The sequence below is a fragment of the Homo sapiens genome, chromosome 14, assembly GCF_000001405.40.
Source record: "Homo sapiens chromosome 14, GRCh38.p14 Primary Assembly".
NCBI classification, from domain to species: Eukaryota; Metazoa; Chordata; class Mammalia; order Primates; family Hominidae; genus Homo; species Homo sapiens.
Window position 1 is genome coordinate 102,029,769 of NC_000014.9, and position 19,645 is coordinate 102,049,413.

Genomic DNA, 19,645 nt, shown 5'->3' on the forward strand with positions numbered 1-19,645 from the left:
ATATAATTTCTGCATGTTTCTCGTCTCTGAGTGTGGGCTTTGCTCTTTAGGTAGAAGAACTGCGTCGTGACTTGAGGATAAAGAGCCAAGAGCTGGAGGTGAAGAATGCAGCAGCCAATGACAAGCTGAAAAAGATGGTGAAAGACCAGCAGGAGGCTGAAAAGAAGAAGGTATGGTGTCAGGGAATTCTGGCCTGTAAGGACTGAGCATTTTCAGTCTCCAATGAGAGAGTAGGAAATGTAGTTCCAAATGGGTCTTAGGGTTAGAGAGAGGGAGGGAGGGAGAGAGAGTGTGTGTGTGTGTGTGTGTTGGCAGAGTGAAGAATGTTGTTTAGAATTTAGTCAGCAAATTAACCAATGCTTAACCCATACCTAAGCCATCCCTCCTTTCTAGGTTATGAGCCAAGAAATCCAGGAACAGCTGCATAAGCAGCAGGAGGTAATTGCAGACAAACAGATGAGTGTCAAAGAAGATCTTGATAAGGTGGAACCTGCCGTCATTGAGGCCCAGAATGGTATGTAAAGACTGTCAGAGCTTTGATGTCTAGGAAGGGTGGTCTCCGTCAACATTACTGTGGAGTTCAGGTCACTGAACATTGCACATATGCTTCCCTCAAAGGTTCTGGTTTCCAAAAATATCATTAGTAACCATCTGAAGCTTTTTCTGAATGCTTGAGATTGTCTTCATCTCTCAAAGCAAAGTTCCTACAAAGCTAGATTGTATTTACCATAGTGAAACCCCTCTCATAAAAGAAACTTCACAATATAAGCTTTGTGTCAATATACGTTTTTAGAGATCTGTTGATAATTACGTAAGTATGCTATTTATCAATCCCTGACTTGAATTTCACCCAGAAATATAAAATATTCAGTGTAACTGTCTTGTAATTGTTTCTGAGTGTTCTAGCTATGACCCAATTGCTAATTTAAGTATTGATAGCAGTCACTTCTCTTTTTCCATTCCTTACATGCCTATAAGATGCTATAGAAATAGGGCAACAACCTGCCATCCTGTTTTAGTTTGCAATTTACACAGTGAGTAAGACTGCTCTCAGCCAGGCGAGGTGGCTCGCACTAATCCCAGCACTTTGGGAGGCCGAGGCAGGAGGATCATTTGAGGCAGGAGGACCATTTGAACTTAGGAGTTTGTGACCAGCCTGGGCAACATAGCTAGACCCCCATCTCTATTTTAAAATAAATGAATAAATGAAAACAAAAGAAAAAAAAGAGTGCTTTCTTCTTGCCCACTGTATTTAACCTGTTTCAAATAACCCAATTATCTGTAGTTTTTACCTTATACAACAAGATGAATTCAAATGCACCACTCAACCTATATATTTTCATTCAGAGTTGGATTTGGATGATAATTTAATGTAGTTCTCACCTTCTAAATATTACTTAAAATTGTTTTACAAAAATTTCAGCCTAGAAAACTATTTTAGTGTATAGAAGTCATTGGCCATTGTTTTTGTTTTGCTTTGTTTGAGACAGGGTCTCACTCTGTCCCCCAGGCTGGAGTGTAGTGGTGCAACCATGGCTCACTGTAGCCTCAGCCTTCCCTGTTTCAGATGATCCTCCCACCTGAGCCTCCTGAGTAGCTGGAACTATAGGTGCGCGCCGCCACACCCAGCTAATTTTTGTATTTTTTGTGGAGTCAGGGTTTTGCCATATTGCCCAGGCTGGTTTCAAACTGCTGGGCTCAAGCGATCCACCTGCCTCAGCCTCCAGAAGTACTAAGATGTGTGAGCCACTGTGCCTGGCAGCCATTGTTTTAGAACTGTTAACTCCACGTCTTTACGCATCCCTCTAAATTGTAGCAAATTTAAAATGTCTGTTGAAATTATATAAAATAAATGCACAATTGCACTTAAAATATTTTGTAAAATATTTTTTTAAAATATTTTTGGCCAGGCGCAGTGGCTCACGCCTGTAATCCCAGCACTTTGGGAGGCAGGGGCGGGTGGATCACCTGAGGTCGGGAGTTCAAGACCAGCCTGACCAACATGGAGAAACCCCGTCTCTACTAAAAATAGGAAATTAGCTGGGCGTGGTGGTGCATACCTGTAATCCCAGCTGCTCAGGAGGCTGAGGCAGGAGAATCACTAGAACCTGGGAGGCAGAGGTTGCAGTGAGCTGAGATCGCACCACTGCACTCCAGCCTAGGCGACAGAGCTAGACTCAGTCTCAAATAAATAGTAAATATATTCTTAATCTTTATGGGGATAAAGAAATTAGGACTTGTGAGACATTTTAAAGGTAATATCCTGCTTTTTAAGGAATGCTAGCATTTTGTAAGATCTTCATAATCATTTAAGAGATCAGCTACTTACCCTATTCCAGAGGGTTTAATACAGAAAAGTCTCTCATTTCTTAGCTCTTCTAAGCAGCTAGCTGTCCTTTCTCTCATTGGAGTTGGAGCTCCTGGCTGTTTTGGTTCATTCTCACCATGCTTTGCTCTATCTTCTCCCACCCATCGACCCTCATCCACTCCTGCTGCCACTCAGCTGTGAAGTCGATCAAGAAGCAGCACCTGGTGGAGGTGAGGTCCATGGCCAACCCTCCTGCTGCTGTGAAGCTGGCGCTGGAGTCCATCTGCCTGCTGCTGGGGGAAAGCACCACAGACTGGAAGCAGATCCGCTCCATCATCATGCGGGAGAACTTCATCCCCACCATCGTCAACTTCTCTGCAGAGGAGATCAGGTGAGAAAGTGGAAGTGCCAAGGTATTGCCAGAAATTGAAATCAGTTGTTCAGGCCAGGCACGGTGGCTCACGCCTCCAATCCCAGAACTTTCGGCTGTTCAGGCCAGGCACAGTGGCTCACGGCTCCAATCCCAGAACTTTGGGAGGCTGAGGCAGGTGAAGTGCTTGAGCCTAGGAGTTAGAGACCAACCTGGGCTACATGGCGACACCCTGTCTCTACAAAAAAATACAAAAATGAGCTGGGCGGGGTGGCATGCGCCTGTAGTCCTAGCTACTTGGGAGGCTGAGGTGGGAGGATTGCCTGAACCCAGGGGATCAAGGCTTCAGTGAACCGAGATCACACCACCGCACTCCAGCCTGGGTGACAGAGAAAAACCCTGTCTCATTAAAAAAGAAGAAAGAAAAAAATTGTTCAAGTGTTGAGCACATTTTCAGCTTTCACCTGAGAACCAAGGGTCAGTCTAGCTCATCCCCAGTGGTCAGTCACTGGGGCAATGAGATGGGAGCTGGCTCTGGTCTCTTCCATTTTAATTTTATGAAAACTCTTCCTTGCTTTTGTCCTGCATGTGTTTAGAAATATCATTCGTCTTTTACAGTGACGCCATAAGGGAGAAGATGAAGAAAAATTACATGTCCAATCCAAGTTACAATTATGAAATTGTGAATCGGGCTTCCCTGGCTTGCGGCCCTATGGTGAAATGGGCAATTGCACAGGTGATTAACACAGCCAGGAGCTCCCGTGTGAAAGGTGACCTCTTTTCCTGTCACTTAAATAACAGTTATCAATTGGTTCTTCCCAGCTTAACTATGCAGACATGTTAAAGAGAGTGGAGCCCCTACGCAATGAGCTGCAGAAGCTGGAAGATGACGCCAAGGACAACCAGCAGAAGGCCAACGAGGTGGAGCAGATGATCCGAGACCTGGAAGCCAGCATCGCCCGCTACAAGGAGGAATACGCCGTCCTGATCTCAGAGGCCCAGGCCATCAAGGCAGACCTGGCAGCTGTCGAGGCAAAAGTAAGATTATCATCATTGATCCTCAGCCTTTCCTGCTGTGGAAGCAGAGATTAACACACTTCAACATGCGCTGCATGCACCATGCTGGCCTCGGTGAATTCGCTCTTTAACATCTGTAAGGCCCCGGAGGACTTTTTTCCTGGAAAATAATACACACTGAGTAGTCACTAAGTGTTGTTAATTAGGATAGATTGATACAAACTGGACACTTTTCAGCCGTTGAATCCCCCACCAGCAGCTCCAGACCTGTTTGCTCTGCTGCCTGAGGGCCTCGCTCCGTACCCAGCTTCTGCCCCGCTGAGATTCTGAGTCGTGTGTGGTCATTAGTTATATATGATCTGGGTCTCATCTCCTCTGGGACTGTGAACAACTTGGGCACGTTTCTAACCCACCCAAAACCCTGCACATAATGTGGATGAACCGATTTGCAGGATTCGGTATAAATCCTGAAAGGCCTCATCCCTGAGCATCTTGTTCGGTTTTCCTTTTAGGTAAACCGGAGCACTGCTCTTCTGAAGAGCTTGTCTGCTGAACGTGAACGATGGGAAAAAACAAGTGAAACTTTCAAAAACCAGATGTCCACCATTGCTGGGGACTGTCTCTTGTCAGCTGCGTTCATTGCCTACGCGGGTTACTTTGACCAGCAGATGCGTCAGAACTTGTTCACTACCTGGTCCCATCACCTACAGCAAGCCAACATCCAGGTGAGAATCACGGGGAGTTCAAAAAGGATGTGCGAGCAGTGTGAGGCAAGCTGGTGTTTAGTGCACAGTTAGAGTCTTGAGAACAGTCCCATCTGTGGCTGTGAAGAGGAGGAAAGGTAACGGCCTTGCCTTTCAGTTCCGTACAGATATTGCCAGGACGGAATACCTTTCCAATGCTGATGAGCGTCTTCGCTGGCAGGCCAGCTCCTTGCCTGCTGATGACCTTTGCACAGAAAATGCCATCATGCTGAAACGATTCAATAGGTATGAGCTCGGGTGCCAAGGAGAGGCATGGGAGGAATGTGGGTGGTGATCTTGAATTTTTTTCAAAATACACCCTTGTTTGAAGAGAGGAATAGAAAATGGGGCGTGGGCATACAGTGCTGGCAGCTTGGTGCTCCTCTGATGGTGGGGCGTGTGCTGTTCTCGTTATTGTCAAGTGTCTGAGTTATTCTGCAGTGAATGCTTCTTGTAACCTTCTAAAATCGATTGGCAGGGGCCAGGCACAGTGGATCACGTGAGGTCAGGAGTTTGAGACCAGCCTGGCCAACATGGTGAAATCCTGTCTCTACTAAAAATACAAAAAAATTAGCCAGGCGTGGTGGCATGCGCCTGTAATCCCAGTTACTCAGGAGGCTGAGACAGGAAAATCTCTTGAACCCAGGAGGCAGAGGTTGCGGTGAGCCGAGATCACGCCACTGCACCCCAGCCTGGGCAACAGAGTGAGAATCCATCTCAAAAAAAAAAAAACATAAAAATAGGCCGGGCACAGTGGCTCACACCTGTAATCCCAGCACTTTGGGAGGCCGAGGTGGGCAGATCACGAAGTCAGGAGTTTGAGACCAGCCTAGCCAACATAGTGAAACCCTATATCTATTAAAAACACAGAAAATTAGCTGGGCGTGGTGGCAGGCGCCTGTAATCCCAGCTACTCAGGAGGCTGAGGCAGGAGAATCGCTTGAACCCGGGAGGCAGAGGTTGCAGCAAGCCAAGATGGTGCCACTGCACTCCAGCCCGGGCGACAGCACAAGACTCCGTCTCAAAAAAATAAAAATAAAGTGGATTGGCAGGGTTGTGTTTGGGGGTGGACATTCAAACAAACAGTCCTCTGTTACAAGAACTGAAAATAGCTAGTTAAAGGGGAAGTACTACCTGTTTTTCTGCTTAGGAAAGACAGAATAAGAAATGGGATGTAACTGCAGTGAAGATGGGCTAGGTGCCGAGAGGGTTCCACGTCTCACCGGGTGGTGCCAGCAAGAGTATGAATCAATCAGTACAGCCTGTGCGCAGGGCTGGATTTGCCTAAATGACCCTTTGACCTAGGAGTTCCACTTCTAGGTGTTCATTCAACAGTAGCCTGGCCTAGGTACAGAATGTGTGTAGGTACCAAGTGTGTACCAGCTGAAGACTGGAGATAACTCAGATGGCCCTCCTGAGGGCCCACCACGCCGTGGTGCTGGGTAGTCTTTGCCAACACAGGACATTCGAATACAGGCTGGACAGGTGCAGAGCGGACAGTAGAGGCCTCCCACGAGGCCACAACTCCCACACTGACACATGTGTCTGTAAATGCTTAGACCTTCTCTGTAAAGACAGGCGAAAAACTGGTAAAAGCCATCACCTGGGCAAGGGACTTTGGTGACCAAAGAATAGGGTCAGAAAGGCAGGGCAGCATGGTTCTTCTCACCATATGCCCTTTTATAGTTGAGTTTTGTAAAAGCTTGTGTGTATATTACCAGTTGGGTTTTTTTTTAACGTTTTAACTGGCTAGACCGTAGGTAGATCACATTAGCTTATTTGTGTCCTTTCCTCATTTGTAGAATGGTTCGATAACAGTGTCAGCCTCATAGGGCTGTTATGAGGATTACGTGACGTAGTGTCTGTAATTTGACACGGTCCTTGGCAATTAAAATTCTGTATAATGTTAATCCCTTGCTGCTGCGACATCATTGATGTTGATACGTGCTGTCTAGAAGGATCGTAAACATGAAAAAGCTATTCTAACAGTGCAGGATGCTGAGAGGATGATTGTCCCAGAAGGAAAAAGATTTTTAACTATGGCCCTCTTGGTGTATGACTCAAGCTACCTCCTCATGCCAATAGTTGTTCAAAAGGATGAGGTGATGTTAGCATTAAGCATGTAAGCTTTATTGGTAAACCTGAAAACGTCTCCGGAAACCACTCTCGGGTGGTGGTAACAGCCTATCAATCAGGGTCTCTCATCAGGGACTCGGCTAACCGTGATCCTGTGCTTTCCCCATTCGGTGTTTCAACCTTCTCTTCTGTGGCCTCATCCTCAGGTATCCGCTGATCATTGACCCCTCTGGACAGGCCACAGAATTCATTATGAATGAATATAAGGATCGTAAGATCACACGGACCAGCTTCCTGGATGACGCCTTCAGAAAGAACTTAGAGAGTGCACTGAGATTCGGTAACCCCCTTCTGGTCCAGGTTGGTGTTGGCCTTTGAATTCTTGAAACACTGCATTCAAGAGTGAATTCCTTTTTGGGGGCTGCCTTTAGTTTTCAACTTTGTAAGACTTCATTTTGTATCAGAAGGATAAAGCTTTGCGGTGGTTCTGTAATAGATAAATTCAACAGAATCATTATTTGCATTTAAAATTCTATTCAGTGGTCGGGCGAGGTGGCTCACACCTGTAATCTCAGCACTTTGGGAGGCCGAGGCGGGTGGATCATCTAAGGTCAGGAATTCAAGAAAAGCCTGGCTAAACCCCATCTCTACAAAAAATACAAAAATTAGCTGGTTGAGGTGGCTGGCACCTGTAGTCCCAGCTACTCGGGAGGCTGAGGCAGGAGAATCACTTGAACCCGGGAGGCGGAGGTTGCAGTGAGCCGAGATCATGCCACTGCACTCCAGCCTGGGAGACAGAAAGAGACTGTATCTTAAAAAAAAAAAAAATTATATTCAGTACAGCCATAAAAAGCAAGAAACAGCCAGGCGTGGTGGCTTATGCCTGTAATCCCAGCACTTTGGGAGGCCAAGGCAGGCAGATCACAAGGTCAGGAGATCAAGACCACCCTGGCCAACATGGTGAAAGCCCGTCTCTATTTAAAATACAAAAATTAGCCGGGTGTGGCGATGCACACCTGTAGTCCCAGCTACTCGGGAGGCTGAGGCAGGAAAATTGCTTGAACCTGGGAGGCGGAGGCTGTAGTGAACCGAGTTTGTGCCACTGCACTCCAGCCTGGGTGACAGAGCGAGACTCCATCTCAAAAAAAAAAAAAAAAAAGAACAAGAAAAATGTTCAAGAAACAAGAACAAGGAACATGTTCCTTTGCAGGAACATGGATGGAGCTGGAGGCCATTATCCTCAGCAAACTCATGCAGGAGCAGAAAACCAAGTACCAGATGTTCTCACTTAGAAGTGGGAGCTAAATGATGAGAACACATGGACACACAGAGGAACAACACACACTGGGACCTTTCAGAGCATGGAGGTTTAGGCTTATAACCAGGGTGATGAAATAATTTGTACAGTAAACCCCATGACAAGTTTACCTATGTAACAAACCTGCACTTGTATTTCTGAACTTAAAAGTTAAAAATGTGTTTTTAAATAAAGCATGTAAGGTCACTAGGAAGCATCAGATTTGCAACGAGATGAATTCATTATGCAAATGGAAAAAAATTTTTAAGAAATGAAATAAAATGCCATTCCAAGGGTCTGTGTCAGCACTGTCCCCAGAACTTTCTGCAGGGGCAGGAATGCCTTATGGTCCACACTGTCCAGTGTGGTAGCCACTAGCCTTGGGGGCTACTGAGCACTTCCCATGGCTAGTGTGACTAGGAACTGAGTTTTAATTTTTTATTTTATGTTTTTTTGAGACAGAGTGTTGCTCTGTCCCCCAGTCTGAACCTCCCAGGTTCAAGCAATTCTGTCTCAGCCTCCCAGGTAGCTGGGACTACAGGCATGTGCCATACACCCCCAGCTAACTTTCGTATTTTTAGTAGAGATGGAGTTTCACCATGTTGGCCAGTCTGGTCTCGAACTCCTGACCTCAAGTGATCTGCCTGCCTCAGCCTCCCAAAGTGCTGGAATTACAGGCGTGAGCCACCGCATCTGGCTGAGTTTTTAATTTTAGTTCATTTAAATGTAAGTAGCCACACATAGCTAGTGGCCACCACACGCAAGTGGCGGGTGGCTTTTGGGAAGGTATGCTTATCCAGAGTAGGACAGCAACATAGCATTTGGGTGAAGATAAAGTTACAAAGCCCTGACCATCAAGTTCCACCCGTGTGGAATGCAGGATGTGGAAAGCTACGATCCAGTTTTGAACCCGGTGCTGAACCGTGAAGTGCGGCGAACAGGGGGGAGAGTGCTGATCACTCTCGGGGACCAGGACATAGACCTGTCGCCATCGTTTGTCATCTTCCTGTCCACCCGGGATCCAACTGTAAGGAATGGGACCCTTCCCCAGGGAAATCTGGCAGGATGTGGTTTTGAAACTGGATTAAGACAGACTGTTCTGTTACCTATTTTGGCAGGTCGAGTTCCCACCAGATCTCTGTTCCCGGGTTACTTTTGTAAACTTCACAGTTACCCGTAGCAGTTTACAAAGCCAGTGTCTAAATGAAGTACTTAAAGCAGAAAGACCTGATGTGGACGAGAAACGATCTGATCTTCTTAAACTTCAAGGTAGGATCTGGACCTGTGGCTTTTAGATGGTTGGTGCAGGGGAAGGGGCTGAACTTTTAAGTGACTAGGATGTTCCACGTTTGTGGCAAACACTTCTGAGAGCATACCTTTTGAAGGATTATTGCAAACTCTGGATGTTTTATTCATTTAAGGGGAATTTCAGCTCCGTTTGCGTCAGCTGGAAAAATCTCTACTACAAGCTCTGAACGAGGTGAAAGGGCGCATTTTGGATGACGACACGATCATAACCACTCTGGAGAACCTGAAGAGAGAGGCTGCAGAGGTCACCAGGAAAGTTGAGGAGACGGACATTGTCATGCAGGAGGTGGAGACCGTGTCCCAGCAGTACCTCCCGCTCTCCACCGCCTGCAGCAGCATCTACTTCACCATGGAGTCCCTCAAGCAGGTGGGTGCCTTGGCCATGCAGAGACTGGCGGGCCCCGCACAGTAGCTCCTTGGCCGCACAGAGGCTGGCGGGCCCTGCACAGTAGCTCCTTGGCCACGCAGAAGTTCAGCGGGGTGCCGAGGGAGCTGCCTCACCGCTGCCCACTGCTTCCTTTCAGATACACTTCTTGTACCAGTACTCCCTCCAGTTTTTCCTGGACATTTATCACAACGTCCTATACGAGAACCCGAACCTGAAGGGTGTCACCGACCACACACAGCGCCTGTCCATTATAACAAAGGACCTCTTCCAGGTAGAGTGAGGTCCTCAGCCGCTCCCTGGCGGGGGGGAAGCAGGGTGCTGCTTCTCTTATGGAACAACATCGTCTCCTGCTCTTGTCCCAGGTGGCGTTTAACCGAGTGGCTCGAGGCATGCTGCATCAGGACCACATTACCTTTGCCATGCTGCTGGCAAGAATCAAACTGAAGGGCACCGTGGGGTAAGAGCACTCACGCCCACAGGAGGATGCCATATTGCTGGTGGCCCCCAAGGGTTTCATGATCAGATACATGCTTTTATTATTTCTTTTATTTTCTCTTTTATTTTCTTTATTTTATTTTTTGAGACGGAGTCTCCCTTTGTTGCCTAGGCTGGAGTGCCGTGGTGTAATCTCACCTCACTGCAACCTCCACCTCCCAGGTTCAAGCAATTCTCCTGCTTCAGTCTCCGAAGTAGCTAGGACTATAGGCGCAGGCCACCACATCTGGCTAATTTTTTTTGTATTTTTAGTAGAGACGGGTTTTCTTCATGTTGGCAGCCCAGCCTGGTCTCAAACTCCTGACCTCAAGTGATCCGCCCACCTCGGCCTCCCAGAGTGCTGAGATTATAGGCCTGAGCCACTGTGCCCGGCCTGTTTTCTCTTTTCTTAAATCACAGCTGTTATCTTAGTGACAGTGGGAGTGAACGTGAGAGACCCTAGCTAACCTGTTGCACCCTTCGCAGGGAGCCCACCTACGATGCAGAATTCCAGCACTTCTTGAGAGGAAATGAGATTGTCCTGAGTGCTGGCTCCACCCCCAGGATCCAGGGCCTGACTGTGGAGCAGGCGGAGGCGGTGGTGAGGCTGAGCTGCCTTCCCGCGTTTAAGGACTTGATTGCAAAGGTTCAGGCAGACGAGGTGATTGTTCTCTTGAATGTTCCCAGTAGGTAAATGTTGGCCTTTTCCCAGGAAATGTAAGGAATTGCATGTGGTATAAAACCCAGAATGTTGTGTCTGCGCTCTCGCGTCAGACTCTCGCTCAGTCGTGGGTTCTGCCCCAGAGGCCAGCCCTGCTCCATGGGTGCTTCCACTATTGTCTCCACAGCAATTTGGCATCTGGCTGGACAGCAGCTCCCCGGAGCAGACTGTGCCCTACCTCTGGAGTGAAGAAACACCTGCAAGTAAGCCCCACTGTGGTTTTCTTTCTGGACCTGAATGTAAAGTTGGGTTTTGCTGCTTAAAGGGATGCTTTCAAAAAACACAAAGTTACTAGCCTGGGCAACATAGTAAGGCCCCATCTCTACAAAAAATAAAACCTTAGCCAGGCGTGGCGGTGCACACCTGTAGTCCCATCTACTCGGGAGGCTAAAGCAGGAAGGTCACTTGAGCCTGGGAGGTCGAGGTTGTGTGAGCTGTGATTGCACCACTGCACTCCAGCCTGGGCAGCAGACAGAGGCCTGTCTGTGAATGAATGGTCACTGATTCCCAAGATAAGTATTTCAATGTTAAAACTTTTTAAGGAAACCACTTAGGGAGATCGCTTCTAGGTAGGTGTTGGCTTAGAAGTAAATCAGAAATTTCCAATTCCTATTCATCTCATGCTTAAAGACCACAAGAGAACTAGATGGGGAACTCCTGCCTAATGCTAAGGAGTTAACTGGCTGTATTCATGCTGCAGACAGGAATGGAATGCCATCAGCCGTTTTTGAGTGTGTTAGGCCAGACCCTGGGCTAGCCAGGCTGAGAGGAAGTGTCAGACTGTGGAGGGCAGAGCGTGGAGCCCCCTTCCTGAGTACCTTCAGGTGTTCTCAGGAAGTGAGCAGGTATTAGTTTAGTAATCTAAAAATCAGCAAATGGCACCTTTGTCCTATGGATACATCCAGGTAGTAAGGTGTTCTCACAGGCGTGTCCAGAGGGCTCACGGAAGGCACAGCAGATGTGGCTGAATTTCCTGATTTGAGCTGATCCTGAAATGCTGAGCATTTGCTGAGTGGGTACTTTGGGAAGAACAGTCCAGGCAGGGGAGGGCGTCTCTGAGTCCATGCTTCCACCCAGCACCCACCCCTCTGTACCTGTTTCAGCACCCATTGGCCAGGCCATCCACCGCCTGCTCCTGATCCAGGCTTTCCGGCCCGATCGCCTGTTGGCCATGGCCCACATGTTTGTTTCAACAAACCTTGGGGAGTCTTTCATGTCCATCATGGAGCAGCCGCTCGACCTGACCCACATTGTGGGCACAGAGGTAATGTCCTGGTACAGCCCGGGCTTCCCACGAGACTCCATGCCCACCTCCCCAGCCACAGGTGGCAGCAGCCCTGGCATCTGCTCTCACTCCGGGCTACAGTCTCCTCCTAAGACCAGGAACTCGCTGCAGATTCTCAACTCCTGGCTGCATGGTGCCCACACCTCTGGGCCCAGAAAGAACATCTTCTCAGGCCCCTCACTCGGGGCTCTCCTTTCCCTTGACAGGTACACACTATTTGCTGGCACTGTAATAACTTCTGCCTTCTTTGTTTGCAGGTGAAGCCCAACACTCCTGTCTTAATGTGCTCTGTGCCTGGTTATGATGCCAGTGGACATGTCGAGGACCTTGCAGCCGAGCAGAACACGCAGATCACTTCAATTGCAATCGGTAAGGATGCTTGAGGGGCTTCATGGGCTGGAGCCCTGCAGGATTTGTGGTGGGCATTGATGTCCGAGGCTGCCGCTGCTAACACTAAGTTTCCCTGCACCAGGCTCTGCAGAAGGCTTTAACCAAGCAGATAAGGCAATAAACACCGCTGTAAAGTCGGGCAGGTAGGCCTGTTCTCTTTGGCTGAAGAAAGCCTTAGTCCCCAGGCATTCAGGCAGGCAGCCTGGCATGCTGTGTGACTCTCACTTTGTGTGTGCAGGTGGGTGATGCTGAAGAATGTGCATCTGGCCCCAGGGTGGCTGATGCAGCTGGAGAAGAAGTTGCATTCCCTGCAGCCGCATGCCTGCTTCCGACTCTTCCTCACCATGGAGATCAACCCCAAGGTGGGTGGTTGAAGGAGTGGAGACGTTGCAGGCTGGCCTGGCACTGTGCTGTCGGCACGTGTGTGGTGGAATTGAACAGGCGCCCTCATCCACACCCGAGCATAACTGGAACGGCGCTCTCCCTTAGGTGCCTGTGAATCTGCTCCGTGCGGGCCGCATCTTTGTGTTCGAGCCACCGCCAGGGGTGAAGGCCAACATGCTGAGGACGTTCAGCAGCATTCCCGTCTCACGGATATGCAAGGTAAGTACCTTGTCCTCCTGGTATGCTTTCCCCATAGAAGCTAAAGCCCAGTCCCATCACCAAATGCAGAAGTGGGTCCCTGGGCCCCCGGAAGTGCCGTGTGGTGAACTGCACAGCTGCTTTTGCTTTTCAGCTGTAGGTAAAATTTCCTTCCATGGCCGGGCACCGTGGCTCACACTGGTAATCCTAGCACTTTGGAAGGTCGAGGTGGGAGGATCACTTGAGCCCAGGAGTTCAAGACTGTCTGGGCAGGCCAGGAGTGGTGGCTCACGCCTGTAATCCCTGCACTTTGGGAGGCTGAGGTGGGCAGATCACTTGAGGTCAGGAGTTCAAGACCAGCATGGCCAACATGGTGAAACTCCGTCTCTACTAAAAATATAAAAAATTAGCCAGGCGTGGTGGCGTGCGCCTATAATCCCAGCTACTGGGGAGGCTGAGGCAGGAGAATCGCTTGAACCCAGGAGGCAGAGGTTGGCAGTGAGCTGAGATCACATCACTGCACTCCAGCCTGGGCGAAAGAGCAAGACCCCGTCTCAAAAAAAAAAAAAAAAAGACCTGTCTGGACAACATAGTGAGATCCTGTCTCTATATAAAATTTCCTTCCTTTGAGCAGGTTGAAAAGTAAAAGCCATGTTTGATTATGGGGTGTGATGAGGTCCCAGAGGAGCAGAGATGCCCACGGAGAAGCTGGGACTCAGAGTTGTGTCCCCAGGTGGCAGGCAATCTCCTCTCCCCCAGCACAGGCCCCCAAGACCAAACAGAGCCCTCCCAGGCGCCAAGTGAAGACCGAAACTCTTGGGCGAGAGGAGGGGGATTGTGGCAGGGGTTTCGTTCTGTCAATTCTGTTCTATTTTGTGCCACATTCACGTTTTCTGACATTCTTAGAAACTCTGTCTTCTCTAGATTTCTTACTGGCTGAATAAATTCTGATGGTCTCATTGGATGACACGTCTATTAATAGAAAAGTTGGCATACTTTTCTCCTAGCAGCAGTACTCATGTGAATCTGCTGCCATCGTCAGGATGTGGAGAGCTCTTTGTAAAGCTTTGACTGACCTGGCATCTGCACTGTTCTTGGCGAAGTGCTGTTTTCTAATGACTCTGTGCTTGGTCACTTTCCTCACCAGTCTCCCAACGAGCGTGCCCGCTTGTACTTCCTGCTGGCCTGGTTTCATGCGATCATCCAAGAACGCTTACGATACGCACCACTGGGGTGGTCAAAGAAGTATGAATTTGGAGAGTCTGACCTGCGGTCAGCTTGCGATACGGTGGACACGTGGCTGGATGACACGGCCAAGGCAAGTGTGGGCCATGCCAGGACAGACAGTGGACGTGTATCTGGGAAGGATGCTGCAGGGCGTGGTGCTGAGAGGCCAGACTCTGCGTGGAAGAGCGAGCTGACCCCTCGTGACCGCCAAAGCCTAGCTGGCCATGGGGAGTGAGGAGGAAAGCTGTGCCCCTCGAAAGGAAGCCCCGGGCCTGCCCGCCTCTGACCACACACACGAACCCTGCTTTTCCTCCCCCAGGGCAGGCAGAACATCTCACCGGATAAGATCCCGTGGTCTGCACTAAAGACCTTAATGGCCCAGTCCATTTATGGCGGGCGCGTGGACAACGAGTTTGACCAGCGTCTGCTCAACACCTTCCTGGAGCGCCTGTTCACAACCAGGAGTTTCGACAGTGAGTTTAAGCTGGCATGCAAGGTCGACGGACATAAAGACATTCAAATGCCAGATGGCATCAGGTATGCTGCTGCCTGCTGGAATGGAGACAGTTGTGATGTCAGGGCGTCTGGTGTCACTCAGAGGTGACCCCTGACATCATTTCCAAATGCACTGGTTTTCTAGGCGAGAGGAGTTTGTGCAGTGGGTGGAGTTGCTCCCCGACACCCAGACGCCCTCCTGGCTGGGCCTGCCCAACAACGCCGAGAGAGTCCTCCTTACCACACAGGGTAGGCAACAAGGATCCTCCCCACACGCAGGGTGGGTGGCGAGGGTCCCCTCACGCGGGGTGGGTGGCGAGGGTCCCCACACGCAGGGTGAGTGTGCACTGCTGTCCCAGGGCCCTCCCTGGTTATGCTGGGTGTGGCTCTGTCAGCCTCGGCCTTCCTGCCAGTCTCCAGCTGCTCCTAGCTCCACTCCGAGGGGAGGCAGAGGAAAGAACTGGCTCTTCTCTGCAGCATCAACTCAGTTCTAGAGAAAAGGCTTGATATTTATGTAAATGAGCCTAGAAATAACATTTAGATGTTCATCTCATATTGAAAAGCAGTTACTGGCTGGGCACACTGGCTCACACCTATAATCCCAGCACTTTGGGAGGCCAAGGCGGGCAGATCACTCGAGGTTAGGATTTCCAGACCAGCCTGGTCAACATGGCAAAACCTCGTCTCTACTAAAAATACAAAAATTAGGTGAGCATGGTGGCAGGCACCTGTAATCCCAGCTACTCAGGAGGCTGAGGCAGGAGAATTATTTGAACCCGGGAGATGGAGGTTGCAGTGAGCCGAGATCACATCACTCTACTCTAGCCTGGGCAACAGAGTGAGACTCTGTCTCAAAAAAAAAAAAAAAAGCCGGGCGCAGTGGCTCACGCCTATAATCCCACTATAATCCCAGCACTTTGGGAGGCTGAGGTGGATGGATCACCTGAGGTCAGGAGTTCGAGACCAGCCTGGCCAACATGGTGAAATCCCATCTCTACAAAAAATACAAAAACTAGCCAGGTGTGGTGGTGGGTGCCTGTAATCCCAGCTACTCTGGAGGCTGAGGCAGGAGAATCTCTTGAACCCGGGAGGCAGAGGTTTCAGTGAGCTGAGAACGCGCCATTGCACTCCAGCTTGGGCAACAGAACAAGATTCTGTCTCAAAAAAGAAAAAAGAAAATCAGTTTCTTTTTTTTTTCTTCAAGAGTTGAAAAGTACCTGATATTAAGTGATTTTTTAAAACCATTCATCTTCCCTAGAATTTTTTAGCAGTCTTTGTTTCCTTTTCACTTACTTACAAGATGTTTTTTAAGACTTCAAGTGCTGTGAGCCAGAAGGGAGCTAAGAAATTCTCTAAGCCAGTGGCTCTCATAGTGTGGCTCCCAAACCAGCAGCAGCAGCAGCCTCCCCAGAACTTCTTAGAAATGCAGGTTCCCAGCCGGGCACGGTGGCTCAAGCCTGTAATCCCAGCACTTTGGGAGGCCGAGGTGGGCGGATCACAAGGTCAGGAGATGGAGACCATCCTGGCTAACACGGTGAAACCCCGTCTCTACTAAAAATACAAAAAAAATTAGCCGGGTGTGGTGGCGGGCACCTGTAGTCCCAGCTACTCAAGAGGCTGAGGCAGGAGAATGGCGTGAACCCGGGAGGGGGAGCTTGCAGTGAGCCGAGATGGCACCACTGCACTCCAGCCTGGGCGACAGAGCAAGACTTTGTCTCAAAAAAAAAAAAAAAGAAATGCGGGTTCCCAGGCCCTGCCCAGGCGCACTCTATCAGGACAGGGGATGGGCCCAGCAACTGGCCTTCACAAAGCCTCCAAGCACTACACGTGGGGTTGACAGCAGCTGATCAAATCTCAACTTTTTCTTATGGGAAAAAGTCACGAAAAGCTAAGAAGACAAGAAAAGCTAAGAAGACAAGGGCATTGCTGAAACTCACAGCTGGTTAACAGGACAGAATCAGGAGGGATAAGCCAGGCGAGCTGGGCGGGTCTGGAGGGAAAGCCAAAGCCAGGCGAGCTGGGCGGGTCTGGAGGGAAAGCCAGGCGAGCTGGGCGGGTCTGGAGGGAGAGCCAGGCGAGCTGGGCGGGTCTGGAGCACACTGCAGGCACCACAAGGCTCGGGGTAATCCCAGCCACATGGTGGCAGTCACAGGCCAAGGGACACTGTGGTGACCAGTTTTCTGAGTTAAGAGGGCAGGTGGCACCCCCTCCTGGAGCGCCTCTCGAGCACGCACTCATTCATGGTCGGGCTGAAAGCCGGCCGGGGCTTGGCCCAGGTCTCACAGTGAACCCAAACCCAGGGTCCTGAAGAGCCTTCCTTGAGTCTTTGGACTCGGGCTGCTGGTTCCGTTTTTTTTTTTTTGCTTTGAGACTGAGTCTTGCTCTGTCACTCAGACTGGAGTGCAGTGGTGCAATCAGAGCTCACTGCAGCCTCAGCTTTCTGGGCTCAAGCGATCCCCCCACCTCAGCCTTCCAAGTAGCTGGGACCACAGGTGCCACCACCACACCTGCCTTTCTAATTTTTTGTAGAGATGAGGGTCTCACTATGTTGCCCAGGCTAGTCTTGAACCCCTGAGCTCTAGAGATGCTCCCGCTTCCGCCTCCCACAGTGCTGGGACTGTGGGCGTGAGCCACTGTGGCTGTCTTGCTGGTGCTGGGACTGTGGGCGTGAGCCACTGTGGCTGTCTTGCTGGGTCAGTTTTAACAGTCATGTTCTCGACCTGGTAACAATTCTTATTCTGTATCTGTCTCCTTAGCTTTCTGGTCAGGCCATTGTCTGTGCTTTAAAAACATACATGACTGGCCAGGCATGGTGGCTCATGCCTGTAATCCCAGCACTTTGGGAGGCCAAGGCGAGCAGATCACCTGAGGTCAGGAGTTCAAGACCAGCCTGGCCAGCATGGTGAAACCCTGTCTCTACTAAAAATACAAGAAAAAATTAGCCAGGCGCGGTGCCACATGCCTGTAATCCCAGCTACTTGGGAGCCTGAGTCAGGAGAATCACTTGAACCCAGGAGGCAGAGGTTGCAGTGAGCCAAGGTCACGCCACTGCACTCCAGTCTGGGTGACAGAGCGAGACTCCATCTCAAAAATATATATATACACACACACACACATATATATATACATACACATACGTATATATATATACACATATATGTATATATACACGTGTGTGTGTGTGTGTGTGTGTATATATATATATATATATATATGTACACACGGCTGAGCACCTTCCAGATTTTGCTGCAGTTCCCAGTGTGGACTCACTCACCATGTGGCCTTTACGTTCAAGTCCCTTTTCCCTCTGTGATTTCTTGCCCGTCCCCTCCCTCCTTCCTGCTGCGACTGTGGGACTGTGGCCCAGGTGTGGACATGATCAGTAAAATGCTGAAGATGCAGATGTTGGAGGATGAGGACGACCTGGCCTACGCAGAGACTGAGAAGAAGACGAGGACAGACTCCACGTCCGACGGGCGCCCTGCCTGGATGCGGACACTGCACACCACCGCGTCCAACTGGCTGCACCTCATCCCCCAGACGCTGAGCCACCTCAAGCGCACCGTGGAGAATATCAAGGTAGCTGGGAGGGTGGCGGGCCGGCCAGGTCTCAAGGTCCCAGGTGCTGGGTATGGTCATGGACCATTGTTCCATGGACCATTGGTTCCACTGTGCCGGACGGAACGTACTCACACCGGTGTCACCTCAGAGCAGGTGTCCAGCTGAGCCCAGGCATTGGGCAAGATGAGTTGGCCCTTTTGAAATGGACTGAAAACACCCTAGAAGATTGTGAGATAGGCAGACAGCGCCACAGCGAGCAGCCGCAGCCCTTCCTCCCTAGAGAGCCCCGAGAGCTGCGACTCGGGCAGGGGCCTCAGCGGGTTTCTGAGCAGCCTCAGCTTCACACAAGCTCGGTTCCAAGTCACGCTCTGCCAAAGCTGTCCGTGACCCTGGACAGTTCGGAAGCTCTGGGGCTCTCCCCGGAGGCCGAGTTACTTCTGTTTGACCTTTACACTGGAGAAAGGACCTCTTCCTAACTTCTCTTCACCCTTTTGAACGATTTTAGGATCCTTTGTTCAGGTTCTTTGAGAGAGAAGTGAAGATGGGCGCAAAGCTGCTTCAGGACGTTCGCCAGGACCTTGCAGATGTCGTCCAGGTGTGCGAAGGAAAGAAGAAGCAGACCAACTACTTGCGCACGCTGATCAACGAGCTAGTGAAAGGTGCGTGAGAGGCCGAACTCGTGGTGTGGCTTCCGGCGGGCACCTTGGCCAGGGGCCACAACCCAGCCCAGCCACACAGCACCACGTGCAGACAGCCAGGCCTGCAGGAGCTTCCGAGAGCAGCTCTGTGCTCTTACCCTCAAGGTGGGCGGGGGGAGGGGAGGAGCTTAGAAATGCTGAAGAATTTGTTTTTCTTCTGTGCTGGTTCACTGAATGTTGACCAAAATCTTTACACAACTTCTAGTTTTTTAGGGGTCTTCCAAGACGACAGTGAATGGGGAATGTGGTGGTCCAGGATGGTGACAGACGGTAGTAGGTTACGGCCTGTGAAGAATGGGTGTCCCCCAGGACAGTGGAAAAGCAGGGGCAGGCGGGCATGGGGGGCTCATCCAAAGTTGTGGGGAGCCCCCAGCATCCTCCTGTTTGCCCCAAAAGCCCTAATTGCCAGGAACACTGAGCCACTTGTGTGACATGAGGTTTTAGCCGCGGTTTTGCTTGGATGTGATTATGGTCCTCCAGAAAGACACACCTGGACTAATTTGACCCTAGAAACTGCACGGTTCTGAGACATGCTCTGGACCAGCCTGAGCTAGAGCAGATGTGGTGAGGGCGGCGCCAGGGGCATAAAGTGCAGCCTGGGAAAGGCAGTAGGTGGAGCCGCCAGCCGCCTGTGTGGGCAGCCAGGATGCCTAGCACTTGCACATTTGTTCCATCTGTGCTGGGGGAGTTGTGAGAGCTGACACC

At 50.1% G+C, this 19,645-nt stretch overlaps 1 protein-coding gene and 1 long non-coding RNA gene across 2 annotated transcripts in view; one reads left to right on the forward strand and one right to left on the reverse strand.

Annotated features, from left to right (window-relative positions):
- DYNC1H1 (dynein cytoplasmic 1 heavy chain 1) overlaps window positions 1–19,645 on the forward strand; it is a 91,871-nt gene that overhangs the window by 65,196 nt on the left and 7,030 nt on the right. Inside the window, exons 50-74 of the mRNA NM_001376.5 lie at window positions 51–170; window positions 394–514; window positions 2,504–2,699; window positions 3,297–3,414; window positions 3,501–3,716; window positions 4,208–4,420; window positions 4,557–4,684; window positions 6,721–6,874; window positions 8,692–8,838; window positions 8,930–9,080; window positions 9,233–9,486; window positions 9,644–9,778; window positions 9,870–9,964; window positions 10,468–10,642; window positions 10,830–10,905; window positions 11,806–11,966; window positions 12,245–12,356; window positions 12,460–12,520; window positions 12,616–12,739; window positions 12,867–12,980; window positions 14,107–14,277; window positions 14,506–14,723; window positions 14,827–14,930; window positions 18,049–18,260; window positions 18,748–18,901. Coding sequence (NP_001367.2) covers window positions 51–170; window positions 394–514; window positions 2,504–2,699; window positions 3,297–3,414; window positions 3,501–3,716; window positions 4,208–4,420; window positions 4,557–4,684; window positions 6,721–6,874; window positions 8,692–8,838; window positions 8,930–9,080; window positions 9,233–9,486; window positions 9,644–9,778; window positions 9,870–9,964; window positions 10,468–10,642; window positions 10,830–10,905; window positions 11,806–11,966; window positions 12,245–12,356; window positions 12,460–12,520; window positions 12,616–12,739; window positions 12,867–12,980; window positions 14,107–14,277; window positions 14,506–14,723; window positions 14,827–14,930; window positions 18,049–18,260; window positions 18,748–18,901 — 3,730 coding nt within the window. The remainder of the gene's footprint in view (window positions 1–50; window positions 171–393; window positions 515–2,503; window positions 2,700–3,296; window positions 3,415–3,500; window positions 3,717–4,207; window positions 4,421–4,556; window positions 4,685–6,720; window positions 6,875–8,691; window positions 8,839–8,929; window positions 9,081–9,232; window positions 9,487–9,643; window positions 9,779–9,869; window positions 9,965–10,467; window positions 10,643–10,829; window positions 10,906–11,805; window positions 11,967–12,244; window positions 12,357–12,459; window positions 12,521–12,615; window positions 12,740–12,866; window positions 12,981–14,106; window positions 14,278–14,505; window positions 14,724–14,826; window positions 14,931–18,048; window positions 18,261–18,747; window positions 18,902–19,645) is intronic.
- On the reverse strand, window positions 6,547–9,269 carry LOC107984661 (uncharacterized). The gene is made up of 2 exons (XR_001750903.2): window positions 9,188–9,269; window positions 6,547–7,001 (listed from the first exon to the last, which is right to left on the reverse strand). It is a non-coding gene; the product is annotated as an uncharacterized LOC107984661 (long non-coding RNA).